General features: G+C 37.6%; 1 protein-coding gene across 8 annotated transcripts in view; it reads right to left on the bottom strand.

Annotated features, from left to right (window-relative positions):
* GALNTL6 (polypeptide N-acetylgalactosaminyltransferase like 6) overlaps window positions 1-24,595 on the bottom strand; it is a 1,228,156-nt gene that overhangs the window by 232,389 nt on the left and 971,172 nt on the right. The gene's annotated exons all lie outside the window — the stretch shown is intronic.

The raw sequence follows: 24,595 nt of genomic DNA, 5'->3' as shown, positions 1-24,595 counted from the left end.
AAATATTGCCCTTTTTTGAACACAAAAGTCACTGACATGCCAGAGGTCTGTTATGCAGTTACTGCTGGCTGACAGCTGCAGCGTGTAATCCTAGCCAACACTCCAAAGATGGGCTTCTGCCCTCTGGTCCTGCTGGGTAAAGTCAGATGAAAATCCTGGAAATGGGCTCTTTCCAACAAAAGAGCTCTCTACAGCAAGGCTTTGCCTAGTATTTTGTGTATTGAAAATAATATATGTAAAACAACAGGAAAGATAAATATCTGTCATATCAACAAGAACCAAACAGATTTTTTCCCCCAGAAGTTAATAGCAAACTAGCAAGAAAGTTTAACACCTGGCTTCTGATTTGAAGTGGAAAGGTGACTGGCTGCAGATGAAATACTATACAGTCGTTTGGAACTTACCTATTAAAGATTCGGAAATATTTCTTAGCTATTTAAATTTGGAAATGTTTCCTGCCTAATTAAAAACAAATAGTGGAAACAAAATCAAATCGGATAATTTATTCACAGAATAAAATATTTCCTACTGTCTGTGACAAAATGCATCAAGCTCTCAGTTCTTATTATGTCAAATAAGAGCATTTGCTGCCTTTCCGGGGTTATGTACTTATATATTTTATATCCTCTGCTTTCATTCTGCCCTATCTAAGACATTATGAGGGTTTTATTGGAATCTCTGACAGGTATAGTCTAGTATTCATTGAAGTGGAATCTTAGTATGCTGTATGCTCTGTATTTTTCACTTTTCAAACGTTCTCTTCATGTCTTCAATCAAAGGCAATATTATTAAGTCTCTTTGCATGATCTGTAGCAGTAGGGGTTCATGTAGGATTTGTGATTCCTTCCTGCTATCCAATGTAACAGATGTCAGAATTACTCCGTATTGGAGTTTCTCCGTGCACAGAGGTTCATTCTCACTTCTTATTAACTAGTGTAGTTTTATAAAATCTTAATTTCCCTTTTTATTGACTGTCCTATGTTTCACAAATGGGTCAATGAAAACAATATTTGGCTTTCTAATTTTCACTGTACAAGAATACAGATGGGGCCGGGCATGGTGGCTCATGCCTGTAATCTCAGCACTTTGGGAGGCAGAGGTGGGTGGATCACCTGATTTCGGGAGTTCAAGACCAGCCTGACCGACATGGTGAAACCCAGTCTTTACTAAAAATACAAAAATTAGCTAGGCGTGGTGGCAGGTGCCTGTAATCCCAGATACTTGGGAGACTGAGGCAGGAGAATTGATTGAACCCGGGAGGTGGAGGTTGCAGTGAGCTGAGATCGCACCGCTGCACTCCAGCCTGGGCAATAGAGTGAGACTGTGTCTCCGAAAAAACAAAAACAAAAACAAACAAACAAATACAGATGGGATTTTCCACGAGAGTGTTTTAGCTCAAAATATGTTCCCCTCTATTTTGTTCTTCATGTAAGTAACAAGGATATGAAGATCAGACTATGAAAAGCAAACTCTTTTTCCAGGGTTGGAATCAGAGTAGGCCTGGGAGGGAGCTCCACAATGGTGATACATATGAGTAGGTCATGCAGACTCCTGAAGCCTGAAAAGCCTCACCTATAAAACATAAAGGATTTAGGGGATTGTTTTTCCCTTCTAGAATGTGGTGGACAGTCAAGCTTTGAATTAGGCTTGAGTGAGACTGGTCAGTGTTCATTCAACAAACTTTTATGTATTAAGCCAATAATCGAAGACTAGTAAGTCACTTGTATGTATGAATAAAAACAGCATTTTTATCTGAAGAAATGCCTTTGAATGCTGAGCCCAAATGACAAAAAATTTAGAATTTTCTTTTGCCTGGTGAGATTTTGATAATTCATCATCTTGTATCTCTTGCAAATTAAAGGAAGAAGTTGTGGCAAGCCACAGACTAACAAATATGAGTATATAAGCAGTATTGTGCTATCTCAACCAGGAGGCAAGTTCTACTGTGTGCCTCTTTGCTCCTGCCCCTCTGCTCAGTGCTCCCCAACATGATGGCCTCCCTTCTCCACTGTGTGCAAGCTGCCAAGAAAGATTCTATTGGCTATACAACACACTGCCTGTGTGTAAGACTGTAGCTTTACTCTCTTGCCAGGGGACTAAAGAAGACAAAAATGACACCACTGCACAATCAAAGGCAATGACTAAGCGATGAGTGACCAATACAAGGACGCCGTTATGTGTCAGCGTCTTGAAAGGGCCACATGCTGTCAGGATTACCCACAATAATAAATATTTAAGAAAATTGTATAATCTCATTACTGTAATTTATTTAGGCATTGAAATCTTTCCATATCATCAATTTATAAACAAGTGGCATTCTATATGTTTAATTGTAAATCGGTTTTTTGGACCACAAAAGATATTGTCTCATGGAAATAGTGTCTCAACAGTCACTGGGGACTAAACACAGATCATCAATATTTGTTAGGCCCACTAAAATATGTTTTTCCCTTCACTATTCATATGTCAAATGTCACACTATGAGTATCACCTCAGCATTTCAAGATGCATTTACATTTTTCCTCCCTGACACCCAAGGACTAAAGGGGCCTCTCTTGGGAGAGAGGAGGAGAAATGAGTAATTTCCTATAGCTCCATTACAGGGAGTTGTTCTAGAATATTCTAACTTCCCAGGTCTTCCAAAGTGAGAGTCAAAGGGTTAAGTCACCTGAGAATGGTTGTCCCAACTTTGGATTTAGACTTTTGTATTCTTTGGTTTATAAGAAATTCTCTAGAACTCAGTGAGGGCTGTCTCTACATGTTTTTTATTTTTCTGTACACATTTTCTGATACTGCATATTTTTCGTATATCAAAGCCCATTTTAATTTACTAAAAAGATTGTTTAGTGTGAATTCACTAAGCATAAGGGGTTTGACCCTTCAATAGTGTCCATTAGATGTTTAGATCAGTTCTTCTAGTTTGAAATTTATGGTGATAATTAGCTTGCTCTGCCTCAGATAATGATCTAGTTGACTGCACTTTGAGGGGTCCTTTCTCTCTTAGTAGTTCATTGTAACATCCAATTACCTATAACTCATGATGAAGGCAGGTATCATCAGTCTAATTAGCAAATTCAACTCTCATACAAGGGATTTACTGAAGATGGTAGAAATGGCTTTAAATTAAAAATATTTTGCCTTTCTTTAGTATGAACAGAGTTCAGATTCATTTTTCTCTTTTTCTTATTTTAAAACTTTTATTATGGAGAATTTTGAACATACATAAAATTAGATACTATTACTCCGATTTTAAAAAATATCCTTCATCCAGCCCCAACAGCCATTAACCCATGGTCAGTTGCGCCCCATCTATTTGCCAATTTACTCCCCCCATTTCTCTTATTTTGAAGCAAATGTCAGACAAAAGACCATATTTTAGTCAAGGGTTCTCTGGAGAGGGTTTAGATTCATTTCTAAAATATTATTAACATGATTTTAAATATAATTTTCTATTATTTTAATTCAAGTATTGCATTTTTGAAGATCACTTTTGAACTTCTTTAATTTTAAATAACACCAAGGAAATTTACGGGGTTTTATTTATAAGCCAGGCAGATCTGCCTAGTGACTTTGAGACATTTGCAAAACTCTGTATAATTTTTTTGGTCCATGGTCCAGACAACCAGTGAATAAATTACTGTTAAAATCCACTGAGCACCCGTATATCCTGATGATATGGAAAAATGAATACAACTTCAAAAATAGCAGTTTTTGCCAGGGCTTATTGTATCACTGTGAGGGAATAATGAGATAAAAAGTTGTATTCCAATGAAATTTTGACATCATGTTACTGTGAATACCAAATTTAGCAGTTTTGTAGAATGTATTTTCCTCCTTTTTTTCAGAGATTTTACTCATGTGCCATAAATTTATATGGAGAATAACCATTCATTAGTGAATTTAGTGTTTAGGGAAGCAACTAAACACCAAAAATACTAACCTTCAGCAATTTGCATAGTCAGAAGAGTCAAAGACATGAGTCCTAGTCCTGTTGCTGACTGGCTGCGTGACTTTGGGTAAGTCATTTCACACCATATGACCTCATTTTCCTCAGCTATAAGATGAAGGGTGTATGACTGGCTCATCTCAATTATTCCTTCTAGTTTTCTAATTCTATAATTTCCCTCGTGATATTTTACTTACTGAGTAGATTCAGTCCCCTCAAATCCTTAGTTTTTCCTTTTAAAAGCATCCCATTGGTTGGTATTTTGGTGTTTTCCTTGGCTATGTCTCACTTTTGAAAGAGACAAATCAAAATAAAGTGAATATGTACCACAGGGCTAGTCAAAAAACAAACTCAAGGGCATTTTCTCTGGTCACTATGGGATCCATCTGATCTTGTACAGTTCACTGTCTATGAGACTGCCACTAATGTCAGAATAATGACTGAAGCACTGTTAGTTCATCAAAGATTTAAATCTGTTCAATAAGTTATGCTTATTATGTCAGAAAAATGCAGTCACAGTTTAGAAAGCTTTGAGGGATTGTTCCCGAGAGGGCTGACAAGCTAGTGACCATCAGTATTAGAGAGCCTGGCCAGGACATTGCTAAGTGGAAGACTCACTAAAGGTCATGCCAACCGCTGCCCCAGGCTCAGCAGCTGGTATGGAGGCCCAGCCACTAGTTGCTTAGTTCTTTCTGTTTCATTTGAATTTCCTAATTTACATCTCAAGGAGAGAGCAAGAGGGGCCAGGATACACTATTGATCTGGAGATATGGATTTCTATGTTTAAGTACATACCTATGGTGAGGAAATTTCTTTGATGTTTATACATTGGTGTTGGCTGATTGCCATAAGATCATGTAGAATATACGCTAGTTATTACGGGTGATACTTAGCTATGAGTTCTGAAATGTAATGGATTATAAATACACAGAAACAAACATATCTAAAATTTGCTGGTTAATCCTTACACAACAAGAATGTACTATTAAGTGCAACTCTTATTCTGGGTATTTTGAGGTTTTTACCAGAGTGATAGGGGCAATACTTTACAACTAAAGAATATAAGATATTCTTAAATTTTTTTAATCTACTTGGCATATGTCATGTATATATTTTGACTGCAAGTGGAAATGTTAAGGATAACTTTCTACTTAGCAGGCCTATAAAGACATTTTCTATATTCTTTACACTGGAGAAACATAAATATTTTAAGTCTCTAGTTAAATTCCAGAAAATTGTCAATCTCTTCGTGTCCTAGTAGAACACACTAAATCAGTCCCTTTTGATAGCATTTGACTATAGGCATTTCACAATTATCTCTGGAGCACAAAAAAGTCCATCTAAGAAAGGAACAGAATTATTGAAACCATGTTTAATTGCTTCTAGTATGATTTCAGCTGGTTCTATCTCTGGATGTCTTATTTGTATTCCTTGAATATGCAAAGCATCATAAGTTATTTGGGAAATAGCTGGGAAAAAAATAAATAGATAAAATATATTTTTTGCTAATATAAAAAGAAAAAAAGAATTAGAATGTCACCCTTTTGCAACTCCTAATGAATTAATGGATCAAACCATTACAGGCTTATAACATCACACAAAGAGTGATGATCACTTATTATGTGTTTCCTGATAGGAAGACACATCACCACCTATGAAGTATTCTTGTCAAATGCATTGAATCTGAATTTAATCATTTCTTTAGATAAGTGGTCCCCAAACTTTTTGGCACCAGGGGCCAGTTACATGGAAGACAATTTTTCCATGGGGGCTGGGGAGGGATGGTTTCGGGATGAGACTATTTTACCTCAGATCACCAGGCATTAGATTCTCATAAGGAGCGCAAAATCTAGATCCCTCACATGTGTAGTTCACAATAGAGTTTGGCTCCTATCAGAATCTAATGGCACTGCTGATCTGACAGGAGGCAGAGCTCAGGTGGTAATCCTTACTCACCTGCTGCTCGCCTCCTGCTGTGGCCAGGTTCCTAACAGGCCACACATGGGTACTGGTCCGCTGCCTAGGGGTTGGGGACCCCAGCTTTAGGTATAACTGTTCTCAGAACAGTCCAAGGATCAGGCTGTTTATTCTTTCTGCCCAATAACGAGATGCAGATGAACTGGGAAAGAAGAGAGTTTATTCCTGTAATTGGGTACAATCTGTAACCAGGCCTAGAAAATATTGCCAGACCAACTCAAAATTACAAAGTTTTTCAGAGCTTATATACCATCTGAGCTATATGTCTACATGTCAGTGTGCATTCGTCTAAAAACGTAAGTCATTAACTTCTTCTAATCTATAACTAAGGTCTGAATTTTGAAGACCTTCCTCTGGAACTTCAGTAAATTTACTTAATCTAGATAGTTCCAGGTGCCAGGGGTGATTACTCGTTTTTGTTGTTGTTGTTGTTGTTTGTTTGTTTGTTTGTTTTTTTGAGACGGAGTCTCACTCTGTTGTGTAGTGGTGTGATCTCAGCTCACTGCAGCCTCCACCTCCCAGGTTCAAGCGATTCTCCTGCCTTAGCCTCCCAAGTAGCTGGGACTACAACCATGCACCACCATGCCTGGCTAATTTTATTTTATTTTATTTTTAGTAGAGATGGGGTTTCAACATGTTGGGCAGGCTGGTCTCAAACTCCTGACCTCAAGTGATACACTCACCTTGGCCTCCCAAAGTGCTGGGATTACAGGTGTGAGCCACTGCGCCCGGCCCCCTTATCTTGTCTCCTGTTAAATCATGGAAGTTTGAAGAGTTCCTTTAGACTCTCAATACAACTTGTTTGTGGAGGTCTGGGGAGTTTCTTCAGACCCCCAATAAAAACTTGTTTAATCCTAAACAGGTCCTGTTAAGAATTCTTTTATTATCTTGTCGTGCTTCAAGGCCCAAGAAAGGCCTAGGCAAAACTCTTGGTGGGCTTTTGTTACATTCCAGCCTTTGTATAAAAGCACTGGCTCTTTCAGCTTTAATATTTAACCTAACCACTCAGCTAGTGCTGAAACTGTTGTTATGGAGGCCTGCCTGTTCAGCTGCTGGTAATACTTGGCCTGCCACATAACTACAGATTTATGGGATATAAAGGGATTGGAGAATATATTAAAGGACACAGCAGGAATACAATTGGCAAAATCCAAACGATGGGAAATTCCTCAGGACCAAGGGCTTGATTTTTTTCAATAAATAAATTATAAGGATAAAAAGAAGTGGAAAGGGAATCCTGAATATTAAGAGACACTTAAGAAACATGGCAACCAATTCAGTGGGAAAATATATTTGCTGTTTATTAAATGGAAGTGGATCATCATGAAGGTCATCATCCTTATCATCATGTTGGGTAGGCTGAGGAGAAGGAAGAAGAAGAGGAGTTGGTCTTGCTGTCTCAGGGGTGGCAGAGACAGAAGAAAATCCATGCATAAGGGGACCTGCACAGTTCAAACCCCTGTTGTTCAAGGGGCAACTGTATATATTTTCAGGATAGCTTTGAATGTATAATAGTTCTGGAGAAAATATTAGAAACAAAAAAGAAACAAAACACCAAGTCTTCATCTAGAACACAGCACCTATGTATTCACCATGGCATGGCCCCTTATGGAGTAGTAAACAGCCCCAGACCTAGTGCCCTGTGTGCCTTGTGGAAAGCTTTTTCCCAGGTTTAGGATTGTGCATGGGTGTGTTCTTCTTTCTATAAAAGGCTCATATATCAAAGTTATGTGGGCAATACCTTATAGATAAGGTCCCTGAAATGAAAAAAAGATTATTGGTGCCACCATGCATAAAGAAGTTAAGACCTTTTTCAGAAAAAAGACAATGTGTAAGAGGTAGGGGGAGAGAGAGAGCTATAGTTAAAAGATTTATTTGTTTTGTCATCTTATGTATTTATAGAGCATCTACTCTTAGAATGCATTTGGGAAGAGGCAAATAATAGATTATTTTACACAAAATATTTTGGCATTTTGGTAATAGGCTAAACAACACCTATGCAAAAAATGTAGCATATCTGCAATGAAGCTTTTACTTCAGCTAATTAATTACAAATTTGATTTGCACGTTCATTACTTCATTATTTCAATTTTGAAAAGGTAATGCATACTCAGTTAGAAAGGAAATATTTGAATTTTATTTTTCCCTTTCCACAGTATTTTCTTAAGAACTATTTAAGAACTGGTTTTGTCTGATGTTTCAATTATATATTTTTTCCTAAGTATTTTATATTTTTCAAAAATAGTTGTAATTAAAGATCTTCCGAGATTAAATGAAAATGAAGTAATCTGAGTAGAATTTATAGTTTATAATTGTTCTGTTTAGATGAATCTAGAATAAGAATTTTGTATTTTCTCCAAATCGGGGAATATAAAATTAACTATAATTCTAAATTATTTTATCTATATCTTTTTTTTTCCGATGACATAACTTTTACCTCAAAGGAGAAGAAAGATGTAAACAGAAAATGGTTAAAACTCAGAGGTCTGTCTATGAAATACTGTTGCTGTTTTGAACTTACCATAATCAATCAATTTTCATAACAATGGAAATGTCTCTGATTTTTAATCATTCAGTACTTTTATTAAATTTAAACTTTCTATGTATTGCAAAAAAAATAGGCTATATAGATTACAAACTTTATTTGTGCAAAGTACTTGATAATTCAGTTCAAATGCCCAAATGTAAATATCTTACCATCAGCATTACACAAAGTTGGTGGTTCAGTATTCTACTATTTGACCCTAAAAATATTTAAGAATTTTGCCAAAGATACTATTAAGGCTTTACTCAGTAAATGTTACAAAGTAGTTTAATTCTAGGAGAATATACCACATAATGTAGTCTTTTAAAGAAAAAAACTCTACACAGATAACATTTGAATTGTCAATGTTGATATAGGAGAACAAATCTCTAACTTATTTTAGATCACTTCTTCATTTCACCCATTCAGTTTTTCTTTGTTGTTGTCAAAAAAATTGCAGTAAAATACATGTAATATAAAATTCGCCTTCTTAATCATTTTTAAGTGTTCAGTAGTGTTAAGCATATTCACATTGTTGTGCAATTACCCTCCATAACTTTTTCATTTTGCAAAACTAAAACCCTTACAACAACTCCCCATTTCTCTCTCCCCCCCAGCTTCAGGCAACCACCATTATACCTTCTGCTTTTATAAGTTTGACTACTCCAGATAACTCATATCTGTGGTATCATACAGGTTTTCTTTATGTGACTGGCCTACTTGTCTCAGTGCAATGTCCTCAAGGTTCATCCATGTTGTAGTATGTGTCAGAATTATCTTTCTTTTAAGGCTGAATGAATATTCCATTGTATTTATATACCACGTGTTGTTTATCCATTCATCAGTTGGTGGGCATTTTGGTTGCTTTCACCTTTGGCTATTGTGGATAATGCTGCTACAAACACGGGTGTACAAATATCTCTTCAAGAGATTGCTTTCAGTTGTTGTTTTGGCATATACGCAGAAGTGGAATATCTGGATCAAATGGTAGTTCTATTGTTAATTTTTTGAGGAACCACTATACTATTTTTCATAGTGACTGCACCATTTTACATTCCCAGCAACAGTACACAAGGGTGTCTACTCAGTTTTAACGTCCTTTTGACTCTTTTTGTAAAATGTATATATAGATAAATTTTGGTTGAATGTGGAGGAAATCTCCAGCAAAAATTTTGAGAACTATCTGCTATTAAAAATTCCCCCAAATAACTCTTCCCAATCCACTAAATACCCAATATTCTACACAGAAAGAAAAGTCTGAGTATTGACAATGACAAATGCTTTCAATATAGAACATAGTAGCTATCAAAATAAGCAAATAGCATGCATAGACATCAAAGTGTCGGGACCAAAGTTATTAACAAGAAAAACCTCCTGAACTTGTAATTTTTCCCCCCACTGCAGCATAGATTAGTCAAGAATAGCTTGTTTGAAAACTTCTCAGCTTCCAGTCTAAATCTATGTGACTATAGAGTACTTAACATCAGACTTGCATATGTCTGTGCCAGTTCTTCCCTGCATGCCTCATCTCTTCTCATCTTAGCTGTGTGGTCTGCTCTTTGCATCTAGTGACTATTGAGATCTCTGCCCGCTCTTAGCCTTCCTTTCATTATCAATCATATCAGATATCAGGGAGCTGAATAACATTCAACTTAATTATCTTAGCTAATCCCCCATATTTACCAATGTATCTATTAAATATCTTATCTTCTTCCCATTCTTCTAAGAAAACTCACTTCTTATCTTTCAGTAGTCCCTTTAATCTTTAAGACTGTCAGAAATGAACATTTTACAAGATTGTCTTGAGATATGAAGAAACTACTTTAAAATTAGTTTAACAAAGAAAAATGATAAAAAGAACCAGTATATTTATGATTTTTCTCTCTAAAGCCTTTAGAGGAAAAATCCCATTCATAAATTTCACAAATCTCCAACTACTTCACCACCTTCTTATTGTTTTTTGCCAAACATCAGGTTATATAGTTTTTAAACTGTTTTACTGTTAACCGCTGGTTATTTTTACATGTACGTGCACATTCATAGCTTGGATAAGTAACCTTTTGGGAGATGATTTGACTTAATGACTTACTATTAGTCTGTTCTTGCCTTGCTATAAAGAAGTACTGGAGACTGGGAAATTTATAAAGAAAAGAGGTTTAATTGGCTCATAGTTCCATAGGCTATATAAGAAGCATGGCTAGGGAAGCCTCAGGAAACTTAATCACAGCAGAAGGTGAAGCAGGTGCACACACATCACGTGGCCAGAGTAGAAGCAAGAGAGAGAGAGTGAGGTGGAAGGTGCTACACACTTTGAAACAACCCATGAGATCTCACCATCATGAGAACAGCACCAAGGCATCGTGCTAAACCATTCATGAAAAATCCACCTCTAAGATTCAGTCACCTCTTACCAGGCCCTACCTCCAACATTGGGGATTATAATTTGACATGAGATTTGGGTGGGGACCCAGAGCCAAACCATATCCACGATCATCTCTAAAAACTGGGACTAAGAGTAATTTTTTTCCCATAAAAATAATCATTTTCTGTTACTTGTTTTTCTAAGACAAAACCAGAATGAGGAATGAGAACTGTGGACCTAAATGATTGTAAGTGAATATGAGCCACATCAAGGAAATTATTAGTAAGGGGAAGTCACAGGCCCCCAGTAAAACCCAATGCTGCATGTATAAATCACCAAGCTGCATAGAACCCACCACTGAACTTAAGGGACTTACAGATTCATTTGGAGCTTTGGAGCTATTTTTAAAAATTCCAAAGTAATTTAAAAAATCAAAGCCAGGATTTCTGAGAAAAGGAAAAATTAATCTTTAGCTAGTAAAGAAAAGTATATAATTCAGGAGAGACAAAAAACAAACAAAAACGGCCAGGTGTGGTGGCTCATGTCTGTAATCTCAGCACTTTGGGAGGTCGAGGCTGGCGGATCACCTGAGGTCAGGAGTTCGAGATCTACCTGGCCAACTTGGCGAAACCCTGTCTCTACTAAAAATACAAAAATTAGCAGGGCGTGGTGGTGTGTGCCTGTAGTCCCAGCTACACAGGAGGCTGAGACATGAGAATCTGAACCCGGGAGGCTGAGGTTGCAGTGAGCTGAGGTCGCGTGATTCAGCCTGGGCAACAGGGCGAGACCCTGTCTCAGAAAAAGAAACCAAAAAATAGGCCGGGCGTGGTGGCTCACTCCTGTAACCCTAGCACTTTGGGAGGCTGAGGCGGGCGGATGGCCTGAGCTCAGGAACTACAGACAAGCCTGAGCAACACAGTGAAACCCTGTCTCTACTAAAATACAAAAAATTAGCCGGGCGTAGCGGCGTTCGCCTAGTCCCAGCTACTCGGGAGGCTGAGGCAGGATAATTGCTTGAACCAGGGAGGCGGAGGTTGCAGTGAGCCGATATCCATAGCGCCAACCTGCGGGACAGAGCAAGACTCTGTCTCCAAATAAAAAAAAAAGAAAAACAAAAACTCTTAGGTGCCATACAGCAGCACAGATATCATATGGGAGCAATAAAATCTCTTCTCTTCCCTTCCTGAAAGTACTTTCATTGCTGCATTGCTTTCCAGTTTAAAAGTATCTGACTCATGCATGCTAATGGCCGTATTATTTTTCTTCAGTTTTTTTCAGAAGAATTTATCCAAATAATGGGAGAGGACACTACATGGGTTGAGTGATAGGGTCCCCAATCTCAAAATAATGTGTGTTAGTGATTTAATAATGTCACCAATAACTGCTAACAAGAACAGCCGTGAAGACCTGTGTGGTTTGGCCTGACTTCATAATAAATAAAAACAAATTGGAAAGGAATTCCTCTAAACAGTTACTATGAGAAAAATGCTATGACAAAATTTCAATTTAGATGAGACCAGAACTAAATTAAATATCTGGGAATTGGTCCTATTCCCAAGGCTACGGAAACTCCCCGTTCTTAATAATATTCTTGTACTGCAATATAGAAGGAAATATGCAGGAAATGGGCTGTCTGCCCTTGTTGATAAAATTGACCTGCTAAAGATGTGTCCTCTCAAGGCATTGCCCCATTTCTTGACAATGCTATTAAATCATGAAAAGGAAAAGAACCATGTAAGAATTGTCTTGGTTTAAAATCTATAAAAGAAAGTATTAAGGGGACCAAAAATGCGTCTTAGATTCTTGGATGCAAAGAACCAACAGCATAAGCAGCAAAATATGACAAAGTAATATATGGACATAATAATAAATGTGTCTATATGTGCTGAGTGCTTATGATATTGTCAGACATGATTCTTGGGTGTATTCATGTATTAACTTATTTAATCCTCATTTTATAGATGATGAAAATTATTCTTACTTACAAATGAGGAAAATGAAGGTCAGAAAGTTTAAGAAATTTGCCTAAGACCACACAGCAAAACAGTGCCTGGAATATTGTAAGTACTCAATAAACGCCAGTGACTATGTGTCAGGAGAAAATAAACAAAACAAAACCAAACCAACAAACTGGAACCCAAATGTATTCATCAGGAATTTTCTAAGTAGAAAGAGACTTAATACAGGGAATTATGTGCTTATAAAATATTATATAATTATTATAGAAGACCTGGAAAATATAGGAAACTGGAAAGAAGGGGAAAAAAAAATCACTGAGTTTTATCACTCAAAGTCAATCACTGTTCAATCACTGTTCATATTTTCCTGTTTTGTGTAGGTTTATATTCAAAGTGTACTTGTTCTTTTAAATCTAACATTGAAAATTTCCATGGTATTATATATTTTATATAAAATATATGTATTATTTTAAATACGTCATAACTTTTTCTTATTGTTTAAGATTTAGATTGTTTACCTGCACACAGCATTGATATTATAAATTATATACAATTTATATTTTTGTGAATAATGTTTTCTGAATCTGTAATTTTCTTTAGGAGATACTCCTGGAGGTAAAAGTAGTGCATCATAGTGTATGAGCCTATGCAGATTAATCTATAGTCAATAATAATTTAATTGCACATTTAAAAATAACTAAGAGAATGTAATTGGATGGTTTGTAACACAAAGGATAAATGCTTGAGGGGATGGATACTCCATTTCCATGTGATTATTACACATTGCATGCCTGTATCAAAAAACATCTTGTGTACCCTGTAAATATATATACCTACTATGTAACCACAAAAATTAAAAATAAATTATTTCAAAAAAGAAGAGACTGAAAACTTTGTCTTCATTTGCTATGGAAGTCAGAAAACTTGCAGTAGCCAAGCAGATATTAAAGGCCATAAAATCAATTCGGTTCTTTTTTGAAAGAGAGCTGAGGTCACCAGTCACACCACCAAATTGCCAAACCATAAGCCCATAAGCACCTCTCTTCATATGCTCTCCCTTTTTTCTTGTTAAAATGAACGAGTTATCCCTGCACCCACACAAGGCCACCCTCTCTATTTGTGTACAGGATCTCATCCTTTCTTGTCTGCTCAAGAACATGGCTCCTATAGGTGTCCCATCTCTTCCCTGCATCCTCATTTTCGGTATTTCTACTGAGACATTCCATCTTCAGATAAAAGTGTTGCAATCTCTCTCTCCTAGAAAGCAAACCTTCTTTGATCTCCGCCTTTCTCCAGCTTCTGTCTCATTTACCTACTCCATTTTGCGAGGGATTTTGTGAAGGAGTTTTCTAAACCTGCAGTCTCCACTTCAGCTTCTCTCATTCTCTCTTGAACTCATTTCTCTTTTTCATTCATTCGAGATGTTCTTGGTAATCTGTCCAAATAGCATTCCTCTGAATGATCATTTGCCTTTGGAAATGGCAGGAATTTGTTTCAGATTATTCTTCCAAGAAACAGCTCTCGTTTAGACTCAGAGTGAAAGGGACGTGATTAAGAATGCAGAACACAGAGGTAGAGTAGGGAAGGACAAAAGGAGTTATTACCAAGGAAATGATTTTGAAATTCATTGAAGGAGAAAAGAAAATGAGACATACAGGTCTAATTGTGAGCACAGAGTACTTTTGTGATCACCTGCAGGGTTGATTCTGACGAAGATTCGTACTTTGTCAATGTATCTAGGAAGGCTGGGGTCATAAACAAGATAAAGATCCTGGAAAAAGTCTGAAGTGGTGAAAGCCCTTGCTTGAGTAATTGAAAGCTAAACTGGAAAAAGCACTATGAAATATAATTTGGCCCTCTTCTCCAGGGAATGGAGAAAATGATCTAATAGGTCTTTTTCATCTCTGCTTTTTGTGACCTCTGGCTGTTAACAGCACTCTTCCTCGTTATGTCAAAATGAATTGCCTATTTACTACTGAACTCTAGAAAATGATTTCTCTCCCTAGGTAAGACAACAAACTAGCATTGCCTACATGCACTTCATTTCAACTTAATCAATGTCCAAGGAGTCATTTTTAAATGGGTAATATTATTTCCAGGACATTTTGCTTATTTGCTGAGTAATGGTTCCCTTTCACTGTCAAGCCAGAGAGCTCCCCCAAATTTTAGAAGGAATTCCCAAAAGAGTGTAAAATGTATTTGCAAAATGGAAAGCAAAATGAAGTAATATGGCCTTTAAATAGCCAATAACCTCTACAGCAGGGCTGTTTATTAGTACTGGAATCTGCTTAGGCTGTTTTTTTCCAAGACAATAAACATTGAAAAACAATGATGCAGGATGACTGCATTTCTGTTCTACAGTATTGCATAAATTTTCTTTTCTTGGACAGGCAGAAGGAATAGAAGTCATTATTTAAATTTTTTTACCAAGCAATAAATAAATGGTGTTCTTCGGAGAATACATACACACACATGCACATATGTATGTATATATATCACTTCTGTCACTAAGAATAAGTGAAAGTTGGCTAATTTGTAATTTACAAAAATATAGATCATTGTTGCCTGTGCAAGCTTGACTAAATGAGGCAATAAATCATATGTCTAAAACATGCCAAGCATCTTCCAAGGCAAAAGTTGGCTCAGAAAGTGACGAGTACAGAATTGTTGAGCAGTACGAGTTTTATAGTCTGTCACTGGCATGACAAGTAATGATAAAGGGCAGAATTATGTCTCCTCTACTGATAGTCCAGCAACAAATTTTCGATTGTAATTCTTTTGTTTGTCCCTCTTTATCTTCATTTGAATGGGCTGCATCTCCTTGAGCTGCAGCAAAGATATATATTTTCCCTGCTACTGATGTGTCTCCCATGGTCCCGGGATGCTTTTCACACTTGATAAAGTTCACCTATGGAAGGGACTGCAGTGAGTTGGCGTGCTGCAATTGAGATAGACATGATGTTGATTTTTTCCACTGTCTTCGGACAGACAAGCCCTGCATTGCTAGTGTTTTACCAAGGCTACTCTCCCAGGAAGGATTTGTTATAACTTTATAAAGATCATTCAGCCTGTAAATTCTGACTGACTCTGAAAACTTGTGCTAGATCAAATCCCTATTTTTGAGTCTGAGACTACTTTTTCTACCACCATGATTAAGATGAGAATAAAATAATACACATTAAAAGTGATTAAAACATTAGTTAATAAAACTGAAACCAAGCAAAGTCAATACTAGAAATGCAATGCTTCTCTTTGAATATCCCGTGAACAAAATAAATGTAATACAAATGTGGTACAAATAAGTACTATTGGAAATACAGGGTGCAGTCCTCAGAGTCTTGTAGGCTGTAGTATAAGCAGGGATATAGTAAGTTTTCACATGGGGCGATAATGTCTCCAAATAGGGCTCCTTTATTTTAGGGGATTGAGACAAATGACATACAAATTCTGAAAGGGAAGATCTTGGAACTTTAGTTAGAGACATACAAAATTCTGAAAGGGAAGATCCTGGAACCTGAATTAGAGGAATAATATTTATATAGATAAAGAGGGAGGAAGGGAAGGTGTAGTCTTGGGAATGAGGAATAAAAAAGCATGGAATAATGAATCCTGAGATGGTTCTTTATTATGAAAACACAATTAAAAACTAAACAACTGACCAAACACTCAGCCAAGCAATAAAACCAACAATCCCTGCTTGGGTAGCCTTTTCAAGGAAAAAAAAAAAAAAAAGCTAAACTATGCAGTCATGTGAATCGTGAATCCAGAGGAAATCAAAAATGCTAAAACAAGCCCTGATCTCTCATCTCATCTTTTTTCCTTTAGTGACTATAATATTTAAATGCTTTCATTTTCCTTTTTGGAAGATAAGCAATACATTCACAGGTAAAATATTTAACATGAAAGTATATATTGAAAAATCTCACCCCATACTTCCAGGACTTCATTTTTCCTCACTTTTTTACTAGTTTCTAATCTATATTTATATAATGAATACTTTTGGCTTATAGAATTATACACATGTATATTTGAATAAACACACATATGTAGTACACACGTGTATATATATACATATATGCATATATATGTGTGTATATGTAATTAATTTTACTGTAGTTTTTAAACATTAAGGGGATTTCTTTGGAAAATCTAGCAATACATTACATACTATTGGCCATAAATATACTCTTCATTTATTTGCGCTCATTTTGTATTAAGAAATGTTTTCTATTTTCACGTCATGGTTTTGATGAATTCTCATGAAATGTAACTTAAAACTATCACTAGAAGCATCGTGAAATGTCTCAAATGGTTCTGATATTATCAAGTTATCCTGGGTGAGTTGCCCACATGGAACAGCCAAACCAGTCCATGGCTCCTGGAACTTATGCCCTCTAGGCAGTGAGATCCTTAGACTAATAATCGCATGGAGGGCTTAGGAGCTTGTTATGGTTTCTAACAAAAATGAACTCTCAGTAGAATGCCAAGACTAGGCATCAGCAGAGCAGAATCCAACATGACTTTTTACTTTCTTTTGCTGGGCTGTTTTCTCTGACAATGAGTTTCAAATAATTTTTAGTTTCTCAATCAGAAATTAACTTTTTTTTTCTTTTCCTAAACAAGGAACACAGGCTTAAACTGGTTAAAGCAGAAAGGGGCATTTCATAGAACCCAAAAGTAGGAAGCAGAGCTGCTTTGCTCTAAAATTTATCTTAATTTTTTAGATTAGGAAATAAGGGATAACAGAGGGTAAGCCACAGACCCTTTCTTCCCCACTTCTTACTCTTCCCACCCTCCCCCTCAGAGGACATAACTCACAACCCCTCTTAGAGCATTTTCTAAGGAAACCACTCAGATTCTTCCACATTCCGTTATCTTTTTCAACCAGGAAAGGAGGATCCTTTTGCTACTTTCAGGTGATTATTTTAAAGTTATAAACCAAACTAATCCAAACCAAATCACTCATGCACCCAGCTGTGTATCTCCATTTACCTCCACCACTGTTGTTTATCAATGTACTGGTTGTTCTATATTTTCAATGGAGGATACTGGGGCCTGAGTTATTTAAAAACCTACTTAAGTAACTCATTTTAAAACTTTGTTTCCTTGACTTCAGTAACAGTTACTTTCATACACTGCAGTCACCTATTCTCAAACCCACATCTTGTGTCTTGCCCTCACCCTAAACTGTCCATTATACAGAAATAATAGTGCTAGTGTCTGAATCTCAGACCACAGTTTTCTATCATCGACTTCCTTCTGTTCCTTTACCTTTTGCTGTCATTACATTGTCTTCCCCATTTTCTTCCAATGCAGCATTTTCTCTGGATGTCTGTTCCATCTCTATCCAGCATGAATTCCATGGTTCTGTATCTGGACCAGTATTGAGGATCTCCTTGATCCCCTATTCTCTCTGCACACTTCATCTCTAGATCATAGCTACTGTGTGCTTTGCTATTCCTAAGACCGGGTGGAAGAACTGATGCTTTTTTTTTTTTTTTTTTTTTGATGGAGTCTCACTCTGTAGCCCAGGCTGGAGTGCAGTAGTGTGATCTTGGCTCACTGCAACCTCTGCCTCCCAGGTCCCAGTTCAAGCAATTCTCCTGCCTCAGCCTCTGAGTAGCTGGGATTACAGGTGCACATCACCATGCCCAGCTAATTTTTTTTGTATTTTTAGTAGAGACGCAGTTTCACCATGTTGGCCAGGCTGGTCTTGAACTCCTGACCTCGTGATCCCGCCTGCCTCGGCCTCCCAAAGTGCTGGGACTACAGGCGTGAGAACTGATGCTTTTATTAGTCAGCTGGAGCTGCCATGATAAAATACTACATACTGGGTGCTTAACAGACATTTATTTCTCATAGTTCTGTAAACTGGAGTCCAAGATCAAGGCACCATGGCGTTAGTTTCTGGTGAGGTCCTTCTTTCTGGCTCACAGGTGGCAGCCTTCTCTCTGTGTCCTCAAATGTTCTTTCCTCTGTGTGTGTGCATGGGCAGAGAGAGAAAAATTTCTAGGACACCTATGGGATTAGGGGTCCACCTGTATGACCTCATACAACACCCGAGTTACATTCTTAATGCCCCAATCTCCAAGTACAGTCACATTGGGGTTAGGCCTTCAGCATATGACTTTGGGGAAACACAACTCACTCCATAAGAATGCTGAAGAAAATATATTTGTGAATATGGGGACCACAATAAATAGATAACCCTTCAGCCTCAGCTGGGCCCTCAGAACCAAAAGCTTTTTCTGCAGACGCCCTGGATGAATAACCTTCACCTGTCTCCAGGCTTCTGTTCAATCAACTCTCTTCATTCTACCAATTGAAGCTTTTGACTCATAGTTTTTATTGGAGGTTAAAAAACTATTTCGGATTCTCACAGAATCTGAGCTCCTTGAGGTCAGGGACCATGTCGTATTCATTTTTATTTCCATAGCATAGTGCTTGGTGCACGTGGTCTTATGATACATGGTGGTTTTTGTCCATGGTTCCTGGCTCATAACTCCCATAGCCTTAGTTAGAGTCTTTTGTTATAATGTTGGGTGTGTTAGGCCTTAGGAAACAGAATCTTTCTCCTATCCTCTTTTTACCTGCCCCAAGGCAGGACTCTAATCTTCCCCCACCTTTCTGATTCTGGTTCTAAAGTCCTTCCCAGGAAGGTTCCTGCCCTATATCCTGGGGGAAGGAATACTGATGTCATGAAGCTTCCATAAAAACCCAAGAGGACTGGATCCTGGAAGCTTTTGGATAGCTGAAGACATGGAGGTCCCTGGAGAGTGACACACCCCGGGAGGGCACAGAAGTTCTACACCCCTTCCCTCACACCTTGCCCTGCACATCTCTTCATCTGTATCTTTTGCAAAATCCTTTATAACAGGGGTGTCCAATTTTTTGGATTCCCTGGGTCACATTGGAAGAAGAATTATATTGGGCCACACATAAAATACACTAACACAAACGATAGCTGACGAGCTAAAAAAATAATTGCAAAAAAATCTCATAATATTTTAAGAAAGTTTGTGAATTTGTGTTGGGCCACATTCAAAATTGTCCTGAGCCACATGTGAGACACGGATTGGACAAGCTTGCTTTATAACAAACCACTAAATACATGTTTCCCTGAGTTCTGTGAGCTGTTACAGAAAATTAATTGAACCCAAGAGGGGGTCATGGGAACTCCACTTGAAGCCGGCCAATCAGAAGTTCCAGAGGCCTAGACCTGTGGCTGTCTGGAAGACGGGGCACAGTTTTGAGGACTGAGCTTTCTACCTCTGGGATCTGACATTATCACCAGGTAGACAGGTTCGGAATTGAATTGAAGGACATCTAGCTGGCGTCTACCACTTGGTGTGTAGGGAAAACTACACCCCACATTTCGTCACAGATGTCTTCTATGTTGATGATTGTTGTGGTGTGAGGGCAGAGGAAAAACATGGTTTCAGATAATTTTTTTCAATACAGTGTATCTTAGATACTCAGTAAATATTGAATGAATACATTTTCCTTTTCCCTATCAACAAAATGGTTTTCATCTATACTCACACTTATCTAGTCCTAGAGGAGGTATTGTTCTGCCTTACAAGACCAGCCTATCTGTGCCCTGAACACCACCTCTTGTTGGCTTCTCTGTAACCTTGTTCCCTTAGTTATCACCTCTTATGTATTCAAGTTCTCTCCTTGTAAGTATGTATGTATGTATCTATCTATCTATCTTTTTTTTTTTTTTTTTTTTGAGACGGAGTCTTGCCCTGTCCCTCAGGCTGGAGTGCAGTGGTGCGATATCGGCCCACTGCAAGCTCCGCCTCCCGGTTTCACGGCATTCTCCTGCCTCAGCCTCCCGAGTAGCTGGGACTACAGGCGCCCGCCAACACGCCCGGCTAATTTTTTGTATTTTTAGTAGAGACGGGGTTTTACCGTGTTAGCCAGGATGGTCTCGATCTCCTGATCTTGTGATCCACCCGTCTCGGCCTCCCAAAGTGCTGTGATTACAGGTGTGAGCCACCGCGCCCGGCCCATCTATCTATCTATTTTTTAGAGATAGGGTCTTGCTCTAGCTTAGGCTGGAGTGCAGTGGCATGAGCATGGCTCACTGCAACATGCAGCCTTAAACTCCCGGGCTCAAATGGTCCTCCTGCTTCAGCCTTCCAGGTAGCTAGGACTAGAGGTGTGTGCCACCCAACCCAGCTAATTGTGTGTTTTTTGTTTGTTTGTTTGTTTTTTTGTAGAGACAGGGTCTCACTGTGTTGCCCAGGCTGGTCTCAAATTCCTGGGCTCAAGTGATCTTTCCACCTCAACCTAACAAAGTGTTGGGATTACAGGCATGCACCACCATGCCCAGCCTGCTCCTTCTCTTTAGCTATAAACATTTTCAAGTCTCCTCTACACCAGATAAACTAATAAAAATATTTCTTTGAAATATGGATTTTTCTGTTTCTAATAACAAAATATTATACTTTCTATTGTCTCTAAAATTATTGAAAAGATGATCTTTATTCTTTAATGTTCTGTGATCTGGCTTCCACCTTTACTTCTGTTTTGAAATTGCTGTTGCGGTGACCTCCACTGTCAATGCAAACACACATTCTAAAATGTGTCTCACCGAACATGCCACTTCTGAAACTTCGTGCTTGGCTTTTATGATTCTGTGAGTCTATGACAGGCTCCTCTTCTACTCGTCATCTGTAAATGCTGTTGTTCCCCAGAGACCCTCCCATGGTCTCCTCCTCAGTGATCCTCCTGGTGATTTCAGCCCCCTATGGACTGAAGACTCCCAAGATTTCCTCTAGTAACTTTGGGCTCTGTATTCCATCTCATTGCCTCTGTGAAGCAGAGACACAAATAGTGGGAACCTTTGCTTTAAGGCACAAGACCAAATGGCTACTAGTTTTGGGATGGTTTATTCCAGGCTTTCTCAAAGCTTTTAGCATTTTGGGCCTAATGAGCGTTTATTATGGGGGCTGTTGTGAATGTTTAGTGACATCACTAAGCTTTATTCTCTAGGTGTCAGTATCTCCAGACATTGCCTAATGATGGCTGCATGGCAAAAGTGCCCCTGATTAAGAAACCCTGATCTATCTGAAACTGGCACTCTAATAACCACAAGAAAAAGAGGAACAATTCATTAATTGCAGTACCATGAGTTTCCGGAAATGAGCCCAAATTTCAAAATAATGTGATCTTGTTTTGAACGAGGTCATTATGGTTTGAAATCTGCACTTCTCCCCACCTTGACCACTTTCATTAACTTTGTTACTTGGTAGGGCAATTTGGCAGCATTTCCTGGAATTTTGTGTTTTCCCCTGCTTGTTCTGTTATTTACTTTCTCTGGAAAATAGATTGAATGGCAGTAGCAGTGGTGGGCAGCCTTACTGCAGCCTAGAATAGAAAGTCCTTGTGGAGGGAGAGGTGGAGATTACTAACAGCTAACTGATCCTGAAAAAAGGAAAATAAAACTTTTCAGGGGAACAATTCAAACTGTATCTAGTTCACTTTGTGATAAATTACCGAAACTTGACATGGCTCAGTCTACTTATGCACATAAATTTTAATTTCTCTAATGTGAAAATAGAAATTACATCAATAAAATTTTGGACCTTCATCACTTTTCATTTATACTCTTTTTAGTTTAAATATGCCCTTTTACATCTTCTCCATACCAACAGATTATGCACATCTTCCAAGAATGTGCCCCTCCAGAATACAAAAAGACCTCTCTCTACCTGCTTTGAAGTTTGTTTCTTGGTGAATCAGTCATTGAGAGCAGGGACTTGGCCGTGACAGTTTTGGAAAGAATTGATGTCTTTAGAGTGAAAACTTGGGCATGCCTAGACAGAGTTTGCTGGTTTAGTCTGAGTAGACCAAATCAAAACAAAACAAAATGTAAAACAAAAACTAAAAATCTTGCCAAACACTTATATTAAAGAATTTTTTAAATTAGATGCCAGAAAATCCTTTCCCTTCCATGGCATGACACCTAAGTAGATTAACCAAGTTCCTAAAATAGGAAGGATAAAAAATACTGTATTCACTACACTACAAAGTGAGTCATGATAATTATATTCCACTTGAAACTTGACCAAAACTTATATTTTGCAAACTACTTCATAGAATGATGTAGGTACAGCCAAAGGGGAACTATTCACTTTTAAGCAATACTTTGAGTTTCCTATTTGTAAAAGATTTATGTTTTCTGAAGTTTCTTAAAGCAGTTCAGTTGCTGCGACTGGCAGCCAGCCAGCTGATTAGAGCGAATTGGAGTTCAAGTACTTTTTTTTTTTTCATTAGTGTCTCTCGTAGCCCTATTTTGGAGTCATTGCCTTTTTCTTCCTAGAAAATTCAAGGCACATAATTCCCCCTTTCTATTCATCTATGAAACTGTTAACCAGGATATAGTGGAACTGAGGTTTCCCTTAAATGATTCTGACATTCTTCAGGAGCAAGACCATTGATTACCTTTAATCTTAATGGATTGGAACTAATTTCTGAAGACCTAAAGTTTCCTCAACTGGAAAGGAAATAAATTATAAGAAACACCAACAAAAACTCACATACAGAAAACATAAGCCCCAGAGCGTAAAAGTCATGCCTTAACTAAACAGATGATTGGGGATGATTAATGCCTTCTGCATAAGACTTTACAATAAATTTCTCTCTGGAAAACTACTTAGACATTCTTTTCATGTAGTGTCACATGAATTTAATCTTAGAAAGACACCCCCATCTCCCCATCACTCTCTGTGCCCTCACCCTACTTTATTTTTCTTAACTCTTATGATAATCTGATATATCATACGTTTTTATTTGTGATTATTCTCTTTCTCTGCTAGGGTCTAGGCTTCATGAGAGCAGGACTTTTTTTATGCTATAACTCGAGTACCTGGAATAGTGCCTGACACATATTAGGCCCTCAATAAATAGCCATAAAATGTGTACCATCCCTAATTAGCAGGTTTATGATCATATTTTTAATATTTGATTTCCTTTACTTATAATAGAAAATCATTATCTTCCTTTTGACCTTCTCTTATTTAGGCTGAATAAATCTAGTTTAAATAAGATAATAAATACTGAAATATTTTGAAAAATTTAAACTATTCTGAAAGTATAAGTCCTCTTGCAAAGCTACTTCTGAGTATGCTGTTTCTTGAACATTTTTTCCATAAAAGTATTATGACCTTTCCAATCAATCATCTCTTCCTATTTATCATTACTTCGTTCACAAATTTTCAGAGGTTTTCTTGTATTTTATATAATCAATTTCTGTCTTTCATATAGTTAAGAAGGATATAACTCTCAGAACATACTGGGGCTAAGAACCACTTTCTGTTCTCTATCAGATATTATTTCATTTTGTATAATATCGTTTTCTTGACAGTGAAGCCAGGCACTGCATCTGTCCTTGTGGAGATGTCCTGGTATCAGTAAGAAAGACACGAGATCTGCCAAGTAAGTATTTGGCTCAGCTTGTCTTCCTTTTTAGGATGGGTTCCTTTGCATCTGTCATAGGGTTCAAAAGGAAAGCGCTAGGCATTTGCTGCATAGGGGTAGCATCTAGCATTCCCAATTATGTTTGTGAAAGCTTTCTACCCCAAAGATCACTTTTATTTTTATAAGTAGCAAACAAGCACTTCATCTAAATTGTGAATCAGTACATTATAAGCATACTTTCTATCCCAACATTTCTCCATGCAAAGAGGTGGGGAAAAGGTGGCAAATTTTAAAACACCCTAGGGAAATTTTTCTAATTATAAGTTCCCTTCATTCATCCTAATGTGGCTCTTAGATAATTCCATTTGATGGCTGTGGTAGTAATAATAGGCTGGAAAAGT

This window comes from Homo sapiens, chromosome 4 (genome assembly GCF_000001405.40).
Source record: "Homo sapiens chromosome 4, GRCh38.p14 Primary Assembly".
NCBI classification, from domain to species: Eukaryota; Metazoa; Chordata; class Mammalia; order Primates; family Hominidae; genus Homo; species Homo sapiens.
The sequence above is the reverse complement of the archived record's forward strand: the minus strand, read 5'-3'. Positions and strand labels throughout refer to the sequence as shown.